The sequence below is a fragment of the Homo sapiens genome, chromosome 7 (genome assembly GCF_000001405.40).
Source record: "Homo sapiens chromosome 7, GRCh38.p14 Primary Assembly".
Lineage (NCBI taxonomy): Eukaryota > Metazoa > Chordata > Mammalia > Primates > Hominidae > Homo > Homo sapiens.
Window position 1 is genome coordinate 139905308 of NC_000007.14, and position 18161 is coordinate 139923468.

Genomic DNA, 18161 nt, shown 5'->3' on the forward strand with positions numbered 1-18161 from the left:
GAGAGTTTTAATCATAAGGGGATGCTAGATTTTGTTGAATACTTTTTCTGCATCTATTGAGATTATCATGTGATTTTTGTTTTTAATTCTGTTTATGTGGTGTATCACATTTATTGACTTGCGTATATTAAACCATCCCTGCATCCCTGTTATGAAACCCACCTGATGTTCGTGGATTATCTTTTTGATATGTTGTTGGATTTGGTTAGCTAGTATTTTGTTAAGGATTTTAGCATCTATGTTCATCAAGGATATCGGTCTGTAGTTTTCTTTTTCGGTTGCATCCTTTCCTGGTTTTGGTTTTAGGGTGATGCTGGCTTCATAGAATGAGTTAGGGAGGGTTCCTTCTTTCTCTATCTTGTGGAATAGTGTGAAAAGTATTGGTACCAATTCTTCTTTGAATGTCTGGTAGAATTCTGCTGTGAATCCAGATGCAAGTCCTTAGTCAGGTAGGTAGTTTGCAAATATTGTCTCCTAGCCTGTAGCATGTCTTTTCATCTTCTTAACAGTGTCTTTGAAAGGGCAAAAATTTTTAATTTTGATCAAGTTCAACTTTTTGATTTTTGTCCTTTATGGATTATGTTTTAGTGTCAAGTCTAAGAACTTTTTGCCAAGCTCTAATTTTCAAAGATTTTTTTTTTACTTTTCTAAAAGTTTTATAGTTTCACATTCTACATTTAATTCTGTAGTCCATTTTGAGTTCATTTTTTGCATAAGGTATGAGGTTCATATTTTGCCTATGGATGCCAATTACTCTAGCATCTTTTTTTTTTTTTCTCACTCTGTCTCCCAGTCTGTAGTGCAGTGGCTTGATCTTGGATCACTGCAACCTCCACCTTCCAGGTTCAAGCAATTCTCCTGCCTCAGCCTCCTGAGTAGCTGGCACTACAGGTATGTGCCACCATGCCCAGATAGTTATTTGTATTTTTAGTACAGATGGGGTTTACCATGTTGGCCAGGATGGTCTCAAACTCCTGATCTCAAGTTATCCACCTGCCTCGGCCTCCCAAAGTGCTGGAATTACAGGCGCGATCCACTATGCCTGGCCTACTCTAGCATCTTTTGTTGAAAAACCTACCCTTCCTGCATTGAATTGCTTTTGTATCTTTGTCAAAATTATCAGTTGAGCATATATATGTGGGTCTACTTCTGGGTTCTCTATTTTGTCCCATTGATCTATGTGTTTGTCTTTCTGCCAATACCACACAGTCTTGACGACTACAGCCAAGTTTTGGGATCTCGTAGACTGATTCCTCCCACTTTATTCTTTTTTCAAAATTGATTTAGTTATTTTAAGTTCTTTGCCTTTCCATATAAGTTTTGGAATAAGTTTGTCTACACCTACAAATATTCTTGCTGAGACTTTGATTGGAATTGCATTAAACTGATATGCCAGTTTTGGGAGAATTGATATTTTTACATTGTGGAGTCTTCCAATCCATGAACATGATATGTTTCTCCACTTAGTTCTTCTTTTATTTCTTTCATCAACATTGTAAATGGCAATGTGCTTTCATTTGGTTTACACATGTTCATTGTTAGCATGTAGAAATGCTATTGACTTTTTTTTGTATGTTGATCTGGAATCCTGCAACCTTGCTGAACTCACTTATTAGTTCTAAGATTGTTTTTAAATTTTTTAGTAGTTTCTCTGTAGATATCATGTCATCTCAAAATAGGGACAATTTTATTTATTCCTTTTCAGTCTATATGCTTTTCATTTATTTTCTTGCCTTATTGCACTGGCTAGAACTTCCAATACTATGTCAAACAAGAGTAGTGAAAGAGGACATCCTTGCCTTGTTCCCCATCTTAAGGAAAAGCATTCAGTCTTTCACATTAAGTATGACATTAGCTGTAAGGTTTTTGTAGATGCCCTTTATCAAGTTGAGGAACTCCTCTCTATTCCTGAGAGTGTTTATCATGAACAAGTGCTGGATTTTGTCAAATGCTTTCTCATGTCAACTGATATAATCACATAATTTTTTATTTTTCAGGCAGTTAATATGGTGAATTATATTGATTGTTTTGAAAATATTGAATCAGCCTTGGACACCTAGAATAAATACCACTTGGTTTTGATATATAAGTCTTTTTATATAGTGCTAGATTTGATTTGTTGAAGATTTTTGTGTTTAAGGTCATGAGAGATACTGGTCTATACTTTTCTTGTAGTATCTTTGGCTGGTTTTGGTATCAGAGTAAACCTGTCCTCATAAATTGAGTTGTGAAGTGTTCCCTCCTCTTTTATCTTCTGGAAGATATTGTAAAATTAGTGTTAATTCTTCTTTTAATATTTGGTAGAATTCTTCATTGAGAATTCTACATTAGAGAATTGTACTCTCTAAGTACATTGAGTACCACATCATAGGGTGGTGTAATTTTTGCTTCAACCATCAAGTATGATTTAAGAGACTCCAAGGTATCCTGGCCTGGAGATGTGTTTTTCAGGAAATTTTAAATTATGAATTCAAATAAAAAATATGAATAATTAAATTTTGAAATTTAATTAAAATTATTAGTAGTTTTGTGGTTGTAAGATTATTCAGATTGCCCACTTCATCTTGATTGAGCTTTAATAGTTTGTAATTTTCATAGAATTGGTCAATTTCTTTCTAGTTTTTAAATATATTAGTCTAAAGTTGTTTGTAGTAGACCCTTATCCTTTTAGTAGCTGCAGTGTTTGTAGTGATATCCCATTTCATTCCTGATGTTGGTGTTTTGTGTCTTCTCTCTTTTATCTTTGTTAGTCTTGTTCGAGGTTTATCCATTTTATTGATATTTTCCAAAGAACCAGTTTTTCGTTCATCAGTTTTTCTGTGGTTTTTGTTTTCAGGTTCATAGAGTTCTGCACTTTTTTTTTTATTATTTCCTTTCCTGTGCTTGATAAGGTTCTTTGTTCTTCTTTTTCTAGTTTCTTGAGATGGGAGCATAGACGATTCATTTAAGATCTTTCCTCTTTTCTAAAGTAGCATTTAGTGCTATCAATTTCTCTCTCCACATTGCTTTAGCTGCAGCCACACATTTTGATATATTGTTATCTAGTCATTACATTATATTCACCATTATAGTAGTGTATTTGTTCTCTTTTATTCCTTCTGCTCCTTGTTTCATTTTTCTTACCTTTTTGTGGATAACTTGAACATTTTTCAGAATTCCATTTTGGCTTATCATAATTTTAAAATAGTTTTTCTTAGTTCTTGTGTAAATACACATATATAATTTATCACAATCTATGAGTATGAATGCCTTACCATTTTGAGTGATATGTAGAAATCTTACTTCCATTTTGGACCTTTTAGCCTCCTTACTTTTAAAATATAATTGTCTTAAGTATATCTTCTAAGTGCATTGAGTACCACATCATATGGTGGTGAAATTTTTGCTTCAACCATCAAGAATGATTTAAGAGACTCCTGAGAAGGATAGTCTATTATTTTTATCCATTTCATTGTCCTTTCCTTTCTGAAGTTCCAAACTTTCTTCTGTTATCATCTCCCTTTCCTTTCTGTTTGGAGAACATCCTTCAGCCATTCTTTAAGGGTAAATATGTGAGTGACAAAATCTCTTAGTTTTCCTTCATCAGAGAATGCCATTATTTCCACTTTTCTCCTGAAGGATACTTTCACCAAATAGATGACTTGTGATTGACAGCTATTTCCTTTCAGCACTTGAAAAATGTGCCACTTCCTTCTGGCTTCCATGGTTCCTGATAAAAAAAACCTGCTGTCCTTTGAACTGGTGTTCCCTATAGATAATACATTATTTCTCTCTGGCTGTTTTCAAGATGTTTTTCTTTCTTTTTTAGTTTTCAGAAGTTTAACTATGAGGTATCTTGGCATGGATTTCCTTGGGTTCATCTGAGTTGAGATTCACTCAGCTTCTTGAATATGTAGGTTTATGTCTTTTGCAAAATTCAGAAATTTTCAGCTGTTATTTCTTCAAGCCAAGGTGACTTTTAAGCACATTGTATATTTGAGAAACATTGCTCTGGAGGGGGGTTGAGAGATCCAAGGACTTCTCAAATTGTATGCAGAATGCTGTTAAGTGTCCACAGCTTTCATTAGATTCTCAAAAGACTCCATGACCCTCACCATACATTTTATAAAAGAATTGGTTTATGGCCTTATTGAGTTGTTTTTTGTTTTCTTGGTTAAAATCAGTAAAAGCAAACAAACAAACACAAAAAGTAGTTAGTATTCTTTTCTTTCTTTGTACCACATCTGTTGAATTCCTGTTTCTCAAAGATTTTCCTGACAATTTTGGAAAATACGATGACTCAGGTAAATGTTTTCCAAGTGCCTAATATGTGCCAGACAAATATTTTTATTGTTTTCCATAGTTAATGAGAAGGAGAAGAATTTAAAACAATTAATATCATTTGGGTTTATGAAAAGTTCTTGGTAAATAAGTGCTAGAGTAAAATTGGCTGCTTTTCAGTGTGACTTTCCCCTTTAAAATCTGTTCCTTACTGCTCTGAGCTGGATACACCAGCGATCAAATTACATCCCTGAAAGTATAATTTCATACACCGAAAACATGTCATTACACAGTGGGCCGCTTGTCATCACTCTGGCTTGCTTTGCACAGTTGGTAGTCCGGCACTCACGGTTCCCCCAAGCAGGCTTGTCCCTGGCTCAACTGCTCTAGCTGATTCCTCCAGCCAGCAGACCCTCACCTCCTTTGTCACCCCTTATTCCTGGACTAACTTTTGCTCATCTTCCAGAACTCAGCTTGGGAAGCACCACCTCTGGGAAGCCTTCAGTCTCTTTTCTCCAAGCATTGAGTTGAGTGTGCCTCCAGGGTCACTCATGCCTGCCAGAACATCACGCTGTATATTAATTGCCTAATTGTCTCTCCTGTCAGATAGTCAGACCCTTGGAAACTGTGACTGGGTCTTGATTTGCTTTCGTGCCCCCAGTACTTTTGTAAGTATAATATGACATGTGTTTACGCACTATCTCCAGTTAGAGTTCACGCCACCAGCTGACTGACTGACTGAGCCTTTCATCCATATTTTCATTAATGTCATTAAGTATCTGTTGAGGGCTGGGCACAGAGGTTCATGCCTGTAATCCCAGCACTTTGGGAGGCCGAGGTGGGCGGATCACTTGAGGTCAGGAGTTCAAGACCAGCCCAGCCAACAAGGTGAAACGCTGTCTCTACTAAAAATACAAAACTTAGCTGGGCATGGTGATGGGCGCCTGTAATCCCAGCTACTCAGGAGGCTGAGGCAGAAGAATCGCTTGAACCCGGGAGGGGGAGGTTGCAGTGAGCTGAGATAGCACCACTGCAGTACAGCCTGGACAAAAGAGCAAGACTCCATCACAAAAATAAAAATAAAATTTTAAAAAGTACCTGTTGAGCTCCTTTATATATAGGTGTGGCGACCAGATATTCAGTTCTTCCCAAGCAGGTTTAATCTTTCCTCACAAGCATCTGTTTATTAATTCACTTTAGACTTTTTCTGAGAATTGGTATAAAGGTTATTGGTCTTTTGCTAGAATTCCTATCTTTCCGTTTTGGGGAAATATGGATAACACCGACCTCTGCCATTTTCCTTCTTTGTCTTACTACTGGATCTTATGAACCCTTTATTATTACATTTACATGTATAGCTCTGTCTTTCCTATTAGGCTGTAATAAGCTCCTTGGGCAGGGAGTGTATCTTATTCAACCCAGAGTCTCCAGGGACCGGTGCAAGGTGGCATTCCATGAGTGCTGGTGGAAAGAAATTTGATGTTAGATCATCACAGCTATATGGTTGCTTATGATTGGAACATATGTTTCCTCATCGTCTCCATACCTTTACTTCCTAGTTATCTTTTATCCCTCATTCTAAGCTACCGTGAACTCTTTTTTGGAAAGGAGAAATGGGTAATGCAACACATTTTAATGCATTTTTTATTCCTCCCAGGTACTATCTTGGTCGTCGGATGTTTATTGTTATTTCTGAGCCAGACATGATCAAGCAGGTGTTGGTTGAGAACTTCAGTAACTTTACCAACAGAATGGTACGTAGTTTTCTTTCCGCATATAGATGGATGGGGAATTGTTCTCAGATGGAGACACTGCATGTCAGATCCAATGGGGATGCAATCAGGCCTCTGATCAGGTTTATGTCAGTTCCACTCAAAACTAAGCTCCTCAGTGAACTCGGTTTTTCAAAAGAGATCTATGGGACTGGTACAAAAGAGTAACATTTACATTTAAGAAATGCTTCAAGAAAGCTAAAGCTCAAGGGAAGCTGAGGCTATTAAAAATGCTAAAACCAAGAGGGTTTTCTAAAGCTGGGTTCAAAGCCGGGGGAATCCAGAGGGCACAGGCCAAGTGACTGACGGAGAATGAGCTAGGCTAATAAATATTAGTTGGAAAGCAAAATTTTGAGGTTCTTGCACTTACATCTTTCCCAGAAAGTATAAGAGTATTAAGGCTGGAAAGGGAAGTCAAGCAAAATTAGGAGAGAAATTTGTCCCCTAGTAAGAGAAGGAAACTTTAAGAGGGCTCCTTTACATTAGGTCAAGTCTCCAGCCTACATGCATGTACATATCCCTTTGTTTTTGGAAAGTAAATGTCCTACTATTTATCTTTGATGAGAAATCCCAAAGGATGGGCGAGGTGACAGAAAATGGCAGAGATCAGGCCAGGCACAGTGGCTCATACCTGTAGTCCCCACACTTTGGGAGGCCAAGGAGGGTGGATTGCTTGAGTTCAGGAGTTCGAGACCAGCCTGGCCAACTTGGCGAAACTCTGTCCCTACAAAATTACAAAAATTAGCCGGGTGTGGTGGCACACATCTGTAGTCCCAGCTACTTGGGAGGCTGAGACATGAGAATTGCTTGAACGCTTGAATCTGGGAGGCTGGGAGTGGGAGGGGCTCCAGTGAGCTGAGATCGCGCCACTGCACTCCAGCCTGGGCGACAGAGACGCTGTCTCAAAAAAATTAAATAAATAAATAAAAGAAATAAAGAATGAAAAAATGGCAGATATCAGTGCTAACCATTTTCCAAAAATAGGGAGATAGGCATTCTAGCAGAGAAGACCAGTAACCTTTACGTTGATTCTTGGAAAAAGTCTAAAGTGAATTAATAAACATGTTTGTGAGAACTCAGAGAATCACCTTGCCAACCATTTTTGGGGGGTTCCAATTAGACCTCACTTTTCATTCTTTTAGGGAAGTACGTATTCATTCTTTTGTTGATTATGTGGCAAACTTTTTCATACCTACCATATGCCAGGCACTGTGTAGGTGCTGACTGTAAAGAGACAGTGTCCCTCGAGGAACTCTCGGTTTAGTGAGGGAGGCAGACAAGGAAAGGGACCAGCACAATGCAGTGTGGTGAGTGCTCCTGAGGTGGGGAGCCCAGGCCACCAGGATGCAGACAGAGGAAAGCTTATTGGGTGTGAGGTGCTTGGGGCTGAGTCTTAAAGAAATTAGAGAAAGTCCCCCTGCCTGTGTTCCGAACTAGGTGAGCCATCCAGAGTGTGTCCTTGTCATCGCAAGAGCTTATGAGATGAGTACAATTATCATCTCTATTTTATAGACAAAGAAACTAAGGTTCAGAGAGGCTAAATGATCAACCCTGGTAACATGGCTTAACACGAGGAAGAGCAGGGATTCATGTGCCATCTCTCAACTTAAGTCTAGAGCTCTTTTTACTGCCAAAGCTGTGACAGCTGCCTCAGTGACATTTCAGGATGTCAAGGTTGAGTGGAGTAATTGGCCACTCACCCAAAATTTGCTCATCTTCTTCCAGCCCCAGAGCATCATGCCCAACTCCAGACATCACGTGGCCTCTAGAGGGATGTGGCCTGGAGGGAGGCGGCTGGCCTGCTACCTCCATCCCTTCAGGATGGCCGAAGGAATTGCAGAAGTTTAACTGCTTCTCTGCTGCCTCTAGATTCTCTTTCCCAAACACTGCATTGCTATCTCCTCGCTCAAAGTCCCCTGGAAGCCGTCTGTCAAGAAACTGATTCTGATTATTAAATGCAGCTGTAGCTTGTTGCTCCATCAGCCTCAGCAAGGAGTGCTGATTAAAGAAGTTGGAGAAGCCAATAAGTCAAAGTGCACGGACCACCAAGCCACATCCTGGCAAGCAGTAAAGGTACTCCCAGGAGCCTGTCATAGCACTTGAGACTGTCTGAGCCCCTAAGCCATGAGACGGCACTTGCCAACTGGTGTCTCCATATTTCCTCCCATGATACCAGGACATGTGACCCTGAGAGCTGACCTAGAAGAGGTCAATGATTTGGCCTGCTAGGGGCAGACATACTCAATGCACATGTCCAAGCAAGGAGGACACAATAATATTGCCCTCAGCTTTGATCAATTTATCCTCCAAGCCATTTGTCTGCCGTTTCTAATTTCTTTCACCATCCCCTCACCCACCCCTCCACGCAGACTAGGTCCAGTGCCCCAAACTCCAGAGTAGAGTTCCAATTTTCGTCCTCTTCCACTCAGCACAGGATTAAGCCTTCAGGACTAAGTTCAAGTTCCCTAGACGATATTTAAGGGCCCTTGTGTCTTAGATCCATTGTGTGTGCTCCACCCTGTCTCTCACTGCTCCCCAATACAAATCGTCACTCCAGCCTCTCCCTGCTCACCCTCACCTGCTCTGGAGAGACCTGACCTCTGCCTTGCTCACGCTGACACTGCCTCAGAATTGAAGGCAGTGTAACAGTGGGGCTCATATTGATTATGACGTGAGCTTGAGCACATATCTTTTTTTTTTTTTTTTTGGAGACACGGTCTTGCTCTGTCACCCAGGCTGGAGTTCAGTGGTGTGATCAGAGCTCACTGCAGCCTCAAACTCCTGGGCCCAAGTGATCCTCCCACCTCAGCCTCCTAGGTAGCTGGGACTGCATGTGTGTGCCACCATGCCTGGCTAATTTTAAAAAAAAAAAATTTGGCAGAGATGGGGGTCTTACTATGTCGCCAAGGTTAGTCTCGAGCTCCTGGCCTCAGGTGATCCTCTCACCTTGGCCTCCCAAATTGTTGGGATTATAGCCCTGAGCCACTGTACCTGGCCACATTTCTTAACTTAAAAAAGAGCTGGGGCAGCTCTTTTTAAAAATATCCATGGAAAGTGGAGCTGAATCAACATGACTCAGCAGAAATGGTCACAACCAGTGGCAGAACTTCTTATTCTTGGCCTCCTCTCAAGGCCTGGAGTTGGGGGATATGATCCACCTTACTGGGCTGTCATAAAGCCACATGGGATCATGCATATAACCTCTCCCTCTACACAGTACTTGGCAGGTGACACATTACTGCTTCTCACAAGAAAACCCTCCACCTCTTCCACACCCATCCAAACTCTTGCTGTTCTTCAAGACACTCCTCAGATACTGCCTCCTCCAGGAAGCCTTCCCTGCCTCCATCCACATGCACTTTTCCCCTTCCCTGAACTCTGGCAGCGCTCACCATGTGTGTCACTCGTTGTCACAGTTGATCCCCTTGTGCCTTCCAGTATTTACAGTGAAGGAGGATATGGCTTTCACTCTAGCTTGATTATTAGCTCTTTAAGGCCAAGAACTGTATCTTGTATTTTTTTTAAACCCCATGACATAAACACATATTGACTCTTCAGCATCCAATATATTCTTGTTCCAACTGAATGGAATTTCCATCAACTTGACATTCCTCCCAGAAGAATGAGGTATTACTTGAACCTGGAGTTGCAATATAGTCTTCTTCGTCTCGGTCATTCACAAACACGTAAAAAGACCCATCATAGATAAGATCTCCAGGAAATCCCAGTGTTTATAGTTTTCCATCTGGGAATGCATCCACTTATGTGTAGCTTTGTTTATGGTCTTTAAGCCAATTCCATATCGATGGTAAAACAACCCTTAGTGACTCAATTTTTTAAAAAACAGTCTTTAAAGTGGGATTTTCTCACAGGTTTTTGAAAGTCAAATTAAATTGGGTTCTGTGGTTCCCTCTTATCCATATGCTTATTTATCTGCTCAAAGAACTCAAGGAGATTAGTGAGACGTGATTTCTCCTTACTGACACCACGTTGCCTTCCCTCTAATAGGCCATGTTTACTTAAGCGTTCAGCAATTCAGCTTTATTATACATTCACTCGGTAAACATTAAATGCTTACTCCATGCAGGCTGCTACCAAACGGTCCCTTGTGATACAGAAAATACCTCGGCATATTAGTTTGATAAATTAAGTGAAAAGGAATTTAAATAATGCATGCTCTCATTCTCCAACAGGGAGAGCCCATGTCTGCTCACAAATTCAGGCTTGAGTTACGTTGAGTTTTGTCCCTGGACAGCCTGGTGGAGAAGGGCCCTGATTTGGGAAGCTGGATTTAGCTCTGAAATTTGACATGAGCCGTAAGCATCCCATGAGGGATCCATAGAGCATATTCACTGGAGGTGGGGGTGATGCAACAGGGAGCTCCCTGACATACAACAACATTGAACAAATGTGTGAATTCAAATATCATCCTGTGAAATATTCTTTTCCAAACTCCAGAACACTGGCTGGAGCAGACTGTGGGTTGGATCCGGAGCGGCAGTTCTTAATGTCATGCTTTCCCATTCACAGTTTTTGGGCCTCTGGAGTCTGTGCAATGTCTCTGCTTCATCTTGCTCATTTTCCACGTGGACCTTGTAGGTCTCTATCAATGTCCTCAGTGCTTCCTGAAACTGCTCCATGATGGTGCAACCACAGCTTATCATTAAACCCAAATCAATCTTCTTGGCACTTATAGAAGCTCAGTCGTCCTGGTACATCAGGACTCGGATGTTTCTATTTAGATATTTTCAATGAGCTCTTCTTTGCTGTCAGGTACGGTACCTAATGAAACCATAGGGCAGCTCTTTTTTAAATATCTGTGGAAAATGGAGCTGAGTCCACATGACTCAGCAGAAATGGTCACAACCAGAGGCAGAACTTCTTGTTCTTGGCCTCCTATCAAGGCCTAGAGTTAGGGAGCTGTGGGAAGGGTGATAAGAGGTAAGCCAGTCTTTGGCCCATGTTAGCTTGGTCTGGTCAGATAGGCATGTCAGGGATGTGTCAAAACACTAAGCCTAGTGCTTTGGAGATGTGGGTTCTGGTCTGGAGTGGCAGTATGGAGTGCCATCTCTCAGGTCCTCATGAGCAACACAGAGGTCACCTCTCCAGGCACAGGTCGAGCCACACCACTGACACACAAGAGTCACGTCCAAAGCCATGTGATGGACGTGGTGGGTGGTTTTATCCCGAACCATCAATACCCGGCACCCTGGCTGCCCCAGGTTCAGCCTCTCAGGGGCTGCTTCACTCGCTCTCCACACAGCTGTGAACATTGCAGGATGAGTCACTGTGAAACCACAAACTCCTTGGCATTGGTGAAGATGACTAAAGTTATAGGCAAATTAGTCACTGGAAACCTTCCTGTCCTCTGTATCTGCAGCAGCCTCCTATCGAAGGAAGAAAAGAGTATGTTGGCTCATTGCAGAGCTAATTGGCAAGGAAAGCTCAATTCAGGGCTACAGGTGAGTCAGACGCCCTTGTGCGGGGGCCACAGGGACCCGCCTGCTGGCATCCATTGAGGAGAGAGGGGCCCTTGGCAGACTTGCCATAAAACCGCCCCCCTTGAACTCATTCCTACACCTGTAACCACTGACAGTTTTTGAAAACTGTTCACCTGGAGTTCCTGGTTCTCTTTCTCTTAAATCAAACATTGAGTAAATGAAGACACTCAGATGTTCAAACATGTGCATCAAGATTTTACTTGTGAGAGTGGTTGCCATGCATGACCTAGGGAAGCTCTCATGGCTTCAGTCAAACCTTGCCAACTTTTTTTAGCTGTGCATTTCTTGAGAAAGGTCAACTCACATTACGGGTCTACAGCTCTGAGCAAGGGAGAAGTTCTTCCTGAAAGCACAAACAGACTACAGAGGGCAGTGAAACCAGAAACACAGGTGTGCAACCTCATTTGCCTGCCCCCGTCTCTATTTTGAGGCCTCTTTGTTTTATGTGACCTCCGTCTCCTTCTCTGCCGCAATCTTCTTCTTATAACACCCACTTTCTTCTTTTAATTTCCCCCTCTTCTAAGCCATAGCCCAGTGGTATGGCGAAAGGTCTTTGCTGTGCATAGGAAACCCTCCAATCTGAACTGGAAGCTTCCTGTTGCAGGATGGGCTGCCCCATTGGAATTCCCAGGTGACAGTCGCAATGGGATGCCTGTCCCCTGCAGGTCTCCCATTTCACCTGCTTTTCTAATGTCTGGACATGGCTAAGTCCTAGAAAAGCCAGATCCATGGCATTACATTTAATCAGTACAACACACTGAGCTTCGTTTCCAACATGGTAGCTAAGTTTTAATTCTAACATCTTTAAAAGTACTGAGTGTCTTGTGATGCCTTGGGAACACAGGAATAGTGTTAAGTGGTGTTGATTCTCAATGCTCAAATGTACTTCTCTCTGCCTTGCAGAGATTTTTCTAAAATTTCAAGACCTTGTTGAAAATGATTTCATATTTTTGTGTCTTACTAGACTCTTGGTTCAGCAGGAAGCTATCTTTATATATTTTTTTAACAAAAAGAAATTAGTAAAAGCTTGCTCTGATATTTATGCCATATTTCCCTAACTTTTGTCGTGGCAGAAGTAGAAATAAGTGTGTAAACCAGGAGATTAATATCTACAATTTAGGCATGAGAATAGAGAAATAAACCATAAAATCAATTCTTATCTCTCAATGGATATATTCCAGAACATTCCATGGAAATCAAGTGACTAAGTCCTGATCCTCCCTGTCTTTCTCCGCCCCAATCTCCTTCTTATGACATTCCCTTTCTTCTTCCCATTTTCCCTCTTCTAAGCCATAGCTCAGTAGTATGGTGAAATGTCTTTGATTTTAGTTTAAAGAAATGAAATCAGATTCCAGATTTGCTACCTCTTATTAGTTGTGTGGCCTTCAGACAATCCTTTAACCTCCTGATTCTCAATTTCCTCCTGTGTAAAATACATTAGACTAGCTAATCCCTAAGGTCTGTTTGGTGCCCAGTTCACGTGACCGTTGGCAGCCACAGGGAGCCACGGAGTCCCACCAGCGTCCCATAGAGCCACTTGGAGCTTCAGGTACAAGGAACAAGCCCCTCTTAGGCCCCCTCAGGAAAATTTATTCTCGCAGCCAAGCATGTCAAGTGCAATATCAGGAACACCCTTGTCCTTCTTGAACACTGCTTCTGGCCAGAAACTCTGCTGAGATCTGTTGGAGAGTTTCCTGCAAAGATAAGAGTTAACAAGCCCCCAGATTCCCTTCCCCGCTCAGGAGGGGCCCTCACTGTCAGCTTTGGGGCTGATAGAAGCACAGTTCCAAGCGCCTGGCTTCCTCCTCCTCCCCAGTGGATAAAATGCTGGAACTCCGTCAGGCAGGACTGCCATAATTAGAAGAGGCCCCTTTCCAGCAGCTGAAGCTGACTAGGCAGATAGAGCCCAAATTTGTTTTTAGCCACCACATGCCCCTGAGCTGACCCCTCGAGCTGTGGACACATCTCACAACCTCACCCGGAGGCCATTCTCTCAGGCCAGTCACACTCTCCCACAGAGAGAGCGAAGATGATGTCAAATCTATGGCCACCTTCTACCAGCAGAGGGAATGAATGAAAACTGACATGTAGAAGAGTAAGACCACTACTGTTTTCATTTTTGGTATTTTTTTTTTACATTTTAATTTTTTTATACTCTATTTTTAGTAAAAGGGACACCTTTACTATTTCAAACCACCAAAATATAAGCCCTATTTGGTTCAAATCTTTGTACAGCCAGATAGCAATAGATATAAATTGACAATGGCCTCAAGTATAGAATTTGGGGTTATACAAGTGACAGAATTCTTGAGTCTCAGTTGATTATAATATAATGAGGGGACAGTGCCAGGTCTTTCACGTCTCCAGGTGGGAAGGGGACAAGTTGCACGATGGCTGTCCTCATCTGTGCCTGGTTGTGTGAGAATTAGAAACAACGTTTGTAACAGTGGTACCTAGTCTTTGTGACCGTGGTCCTCTTTTTGATATTAATATTTTTGCAGACTAGTTGGCATAAACAAGTTGGCTCTCTGTACTCACATTACAACCACTGAGGTATAACACTATCTCTTGGAGTCCTTAGAAGCACCTCGCTCTGTTCAGCTGGCCTCTCAGCCTTGTGTGGCTGTTTCAGAACTGTTGATCATCTGTCAAGTCATCCCAGAGATCATCTAGATCTTGAGTCCATTTCTTGCATGTTCCAGAACACAAGAAAACATTTGTGGCTATAGCTTCATATTCTATCATGCCTTTCATCCCTTTCTCCCGATAATACATGAACCCGGTTACAGCAGAAATGCATTCCATGCATTTGCAACACTCTGGAAGGAGCCAGTGGTTCTTGTGTGGCTTTACCAGGCCAGTCGAGAATCACTGGGCTGGTGCATGAGAAACCTTCAGTAAGTGGCTGCTGTCTTCATGCACCCATGGAATGCCGAGGTGTTGGTTTTCTTCAATAACCTGCTCCTCAGGGCAGTGTTTCCTAATTGCTGGAGAATGACCCAAGAGTTGATGAAATAATATGAAAAGTACTGTGTTTGCTGTAAGATGGACAAGTATTGGTGATATAGGCCACCCCACTCCCACCCTCCATTCTTTGTCTTGATAGTTCCAGTCCCAGTACAGCACCTGGCACACAGTAGTTGCTCCATCATTATTCACAGCATAATCACAGACACCATTCAGAGCAGAGCTTGTACAGCCCTAAACATAAAGTGCAGCAAACCCAGCTCAAGATCATTGAAGCTAGCAGCCATTCAGCTCCTGCTGTGGGATGGCCAGGGAGGGTCAGAGACTGTGGTCTTGACACATTCTGTGTGGGGTTCATCCACATCTTCCTAAATGCCCAAGGCATGGCTATTTGAAGCAGAGCAAGTAAAGACAACGAGGGGTCCCTCTGCTGGGTTTTCTGTCCCCCTCTGGCTGCCAGCACTAATCTAGCCTTTGAAGAGGGGCAGAAGGGGCAAAGTTAAACCACACTTTCCTCTCTTACCTGTTGTCACCCCTCTAATGACTTTTCACTTTCTCTGCTCACCTTCTCCTTCCTGCCTCTTTTAGAAATGGGAAACAAAGGGCCCATAGGCCCTAAAAGGGGCCACCCTTTGAAGGAGGAGACATGACCACAAATGTCACCCTTTGATATCCTAATGGGATCCATGTTAAAAAAGGAAGTTTTTAACCTGGTCTCAGAGGACACTTGCAAGAGATGCCAAGGAAGGCAGTGTGATCATCCCAAGTCAAGCAGCCTAACGTGAGCCTGTGAGAGAGAAACTGCAATCCACCCGCAACGTGTGGTCATCAAAGGGCGGCAACCCCAGTTACCAGCTTGAGATTAAAAACCCAAATTAAAACAGGGCCAAAGGATTCCTGTCAGCTCTTAACACCTCTCTTAAAATGTGACCACTGTCTGAAAACCATTGTTTGGCTGATGAGGTCTAACTTCATTACACATCACAGTAGGACACTCCTTCCTGAGACCAGGCACTGCTCCCATGAGTGCAGTAGGACAGACCTCCTCTGTTCCTGACGATGATACCCCAATACAGCCCGACAAGCGTGTGCTCAATGAAGGTTCCCAGATCTTTTTAATGCGACTTTTTGCAGGTCAGGTTGCTTCCATCACATGCACTGAACAACCAAATTTTAAACCTAAATATGAAACCTTGTAGTTACATCTGTTGATTTTCGTCTTGTTAGTGTTCATCCAGCATTCAAGTCTGTCGAAATTAAATGTTTATTATTCCTTAGTATTTTTTTAAATTGAAGTCACTTCCATACACAAACCTTGAGTGTAAAGCTCAATGTATTATTGTCTATGTATTCCCCTATGTGACACCACCCAGATCAAGACACAAACATTTCCAACACTCCAGAGGGTTCCCTCATGCCTCTTCTCAGTCAACCCATCCCTACCATCCAGAGGAAACCACTCCTCTGACATCAATTTGTATAGATTTCTCTTTTCCTGCTGTTGAACTTCATGTAAATGTAAACTTACAGTATGTATCCTTTTGTTCTGGCATCTTTTGCTCAACATAATGTCTGTAAGAGTCATCCATACCACGTATTTAGATTAATATAGCCAGGTGTGGTGGCTCAGTCCTGTAATTTTGCACTTTGGGAGGCTGAGGCAGGAAGATTGCTTGAGCCCAGGAGTTCGAGACTGGCCTGGGCAACAAAGTGAGACCCCTGTCTCTACAAAAAAAAATTTTTAAATTAGCCAGGCCCCGTGGTGTGTGCCTGTGGTCCCAGGTACTCAGGAGACTGAGGGAAGAGGATGCCTTGAGCCCAGGAATTTGAGGCTATAGTGAGCTATGATCGTGCCACTGCACTGCAGCCTGGGGACAGAGCAAGATCGTGAACATAGTTTGCATTTTTCATTGCTATGTAGCATTCCAATGTATAGAAACACCACAATCTATTCCTCTGTCAATAAACATATAGGTTTCCAGTTTTTTGCTATTATGAATTAGGTTGTTATATCAACAGGCATTTATGAACACCTAGGAGCAGCATCGCTAGCCCACGAGAGTAGGTGCATGGTGGGTTTTTGTACATACTGCCAAACAGTTTTCCAAAGGGGTTGAGCCAATCTATACTCCCATAAAGTGGAGTTCTAGTTGTTCCAGCCTTAGCCAGCACTTTCATCTTGCCATTATTTTTCACTGTAACTATTCCAGGGGCTGGGTAGTAGTGGTATCTCACCACAGTTTTAATTTGTATTTATCTGGTGACCATGTCATTGAGAACTTTTTCTTTTTCTTTTTTTTTTTTTTTCCCCGAGATGGAGTTTTGCTCTTGTTGCCCAGGCTGGAGTGCAATGGTGTGATCTCAGCTCACTACAACCTCTGCCTCCTGGGTTCAAGCGATTCTCCTGCCTCAGCCTCCCGTGAAGCTGGGATTACGGACATGTGCCACCATGCCCGGCTAATTTTTGTATTTTTAGCAGAGACGGAGTTTCTGCATGTTGGTCAGGTTGGTCTCGAATTCCTGACCTCAGGTGATCTGCCCACCTTCACCTCCCAAAGTGCTGGGATTATAGGCGTGAGCCACCGCGCCCAGCCGAGAACTTTTTCATATGCTCTCTGGCCATTTGAATAGTCTCCTTTTTAACAACGTGCCTGTTGAGTCTTTGCCCCCTCCCCCACTTTTATTTTAAGGTGTTTGACTTTTTCTGATTGACTTGTTTTTCTTTGCATGTTCTGCCTTGAGTCTTTTGTCAGATAAATGTGTTGTGAATATCTTCTCCCAGTCCATGGTTTGTGTGTTATTTTCTTAATAATATCCTTTGATAATAAAGTCCAATTTATCAAAATCTTCTTTTGTGGTATTGCTTTTGGTATTCTCTTTAAGAACTCTTGCCTTATATACAAGGTCACAAAGATATTCTCTTGGAATCATTATGGTTCTACCTCTCACTATTGGGACTATGATCTATCTCCAGTTAACTTTTGTGTATAGAGTGAAGTATGGATCAAAGCTGATTTTTTTTCTCTGTATTAATATCCAATTGCCCCAGTACCATTGTTGAAAAGACCACCCATTCCCCCTTGAATAGCACCTTTGTCATAAATCAAGAGATCATATGTGTGAGTCTACTTCTGGACTCTGTCCCATTTCATTGGTCTTTTTGTTTATCCTTGCACCAATATCACACTCTCTTAAATAGCATAGCTTTATCATTGATCTTGAAAGATGGCAGTGTGGCCAGGCACGGTGGCTAACGCCTATAATTTTGGGAAGGCCAAGGTGGGGGAATTGTTTGAGGCCAGGAGTTTGAGACCAGCCTGGGTAACAAACCAAGACCCAGTCTCTACTAAACAAATATATATATATATAATTAGCCAGGCATGGTGGCGCATGCCTGTAGTCCCAGCTACTCAGAAGGCTGAGGTAAGAAAATTGCTTAAGCCCAGGAGGCGTAGGTTGTAGTGAGCCATGATTCTGCCACTGCACTTCAGCTTGAGCAACAGAGCGAGACCCTGTCCGAGAGAGAGAGAGAGACGCAAGAGAGAGAAACAGAGAGAGATGGCGGTATAAATTCTCGTGGTTATTCTAGTTCTTTTGGTTCCATATATCTGTTTACAGGAATCAGCTTGTCAATTTTTAAAATGTTTAATTTTTGTGAGTA

General features: G+C 42.1%; 1 protein-coding gene across 9 annotated transcripts in view, besides 4 other annotated features; it reads left to right on the forward strand.

Annotated features, from left to right (window-relative positions):
- TBXAS1 (thromboxane A synthase 1) overlaps positions 1 to 18161 on the forward strand; it is a 242052-nt gene that overhangs the window by 127066 nt on the left and 96825 nt on the right. For 7 of the 9 annotated variants that reach the window (NM_001130966.5, NM_001166254.4, NM_001314028.4 and 4 more), the window contains one exon: positions 5918 to 6014. The exons of 1 other annotated variant lie outside the window; for it this stretch is intronic. In NM_001130966.5, coding sequence (NP_001124438.2) covers positions 5918 to 6014 — 97 coding nt within the window. Of the gene's footprint in view, positions 1 to 5917; positions 6015 to 7757; positions 8723 to 18161 lie in introns of those variants that run through there. One more of the 9 variants, NM_001366538.2, reaches the window with a different exon arrangement.
- Positions 8398 to 9597: an enhancer, noted in NCBI's record as "CDK7 strongly-dependent group 2 enhancer chr7:139613504-139614703 (GRCh37/hg19 assembly coordinates)". NCBI's record gives its function as "activates an origin of replication core promoter dependent on BRD2, BRD4, P300/CBP, MED14 and CDK7 cofactors, with strong dependence on CDK7, by STARR-seq in HCT116 cells {active_cell/tissue: HCT116}" and the evidence as "EXISTENCE:reporter gene assay evidence [ECO:0000049][PMID:35650434]".
- Positions 10499 to 11698: an enhancer, noted in NCBI's record as "P300/CBP strongly-dependent group 1 enhancer chr7:139615605-139616804 (GRCh37/hg19 assembly coordinates)". NCBI's record gives its function as "activates an origin of replication core promoter dependent on BRD2, BRD4, P300/CBP, MED14 and CDK7 cofactors, with strong dependence on P300/CBP, by STARR-seq in HCT116 cells {active_cell/tissue: HCT116}" and the evidence as "EXISTENCE:reporter gene assay evidence [ECO:0000049][PMID:35650434]".
- Positions 10499 to 11900: a biological region, named in NCBI's record as "P300/CBP strongly-dependent group 1 enhancer GRCh37_chr7:139615605-139616804".
- Positions 11601 to 11900: an enhancer, noted in NCBI's record as "active region_26771". NCBI's record gives its function as "activates an Ori minimal core promoter by ATAC-STARR-seq in GM12878 lymphoblastoid cells {active_cell/tissue: GM12878}" and the evidence as "EXISTENCE:reporter gene assay evidence [ECO:0000049][PMID:35858748]".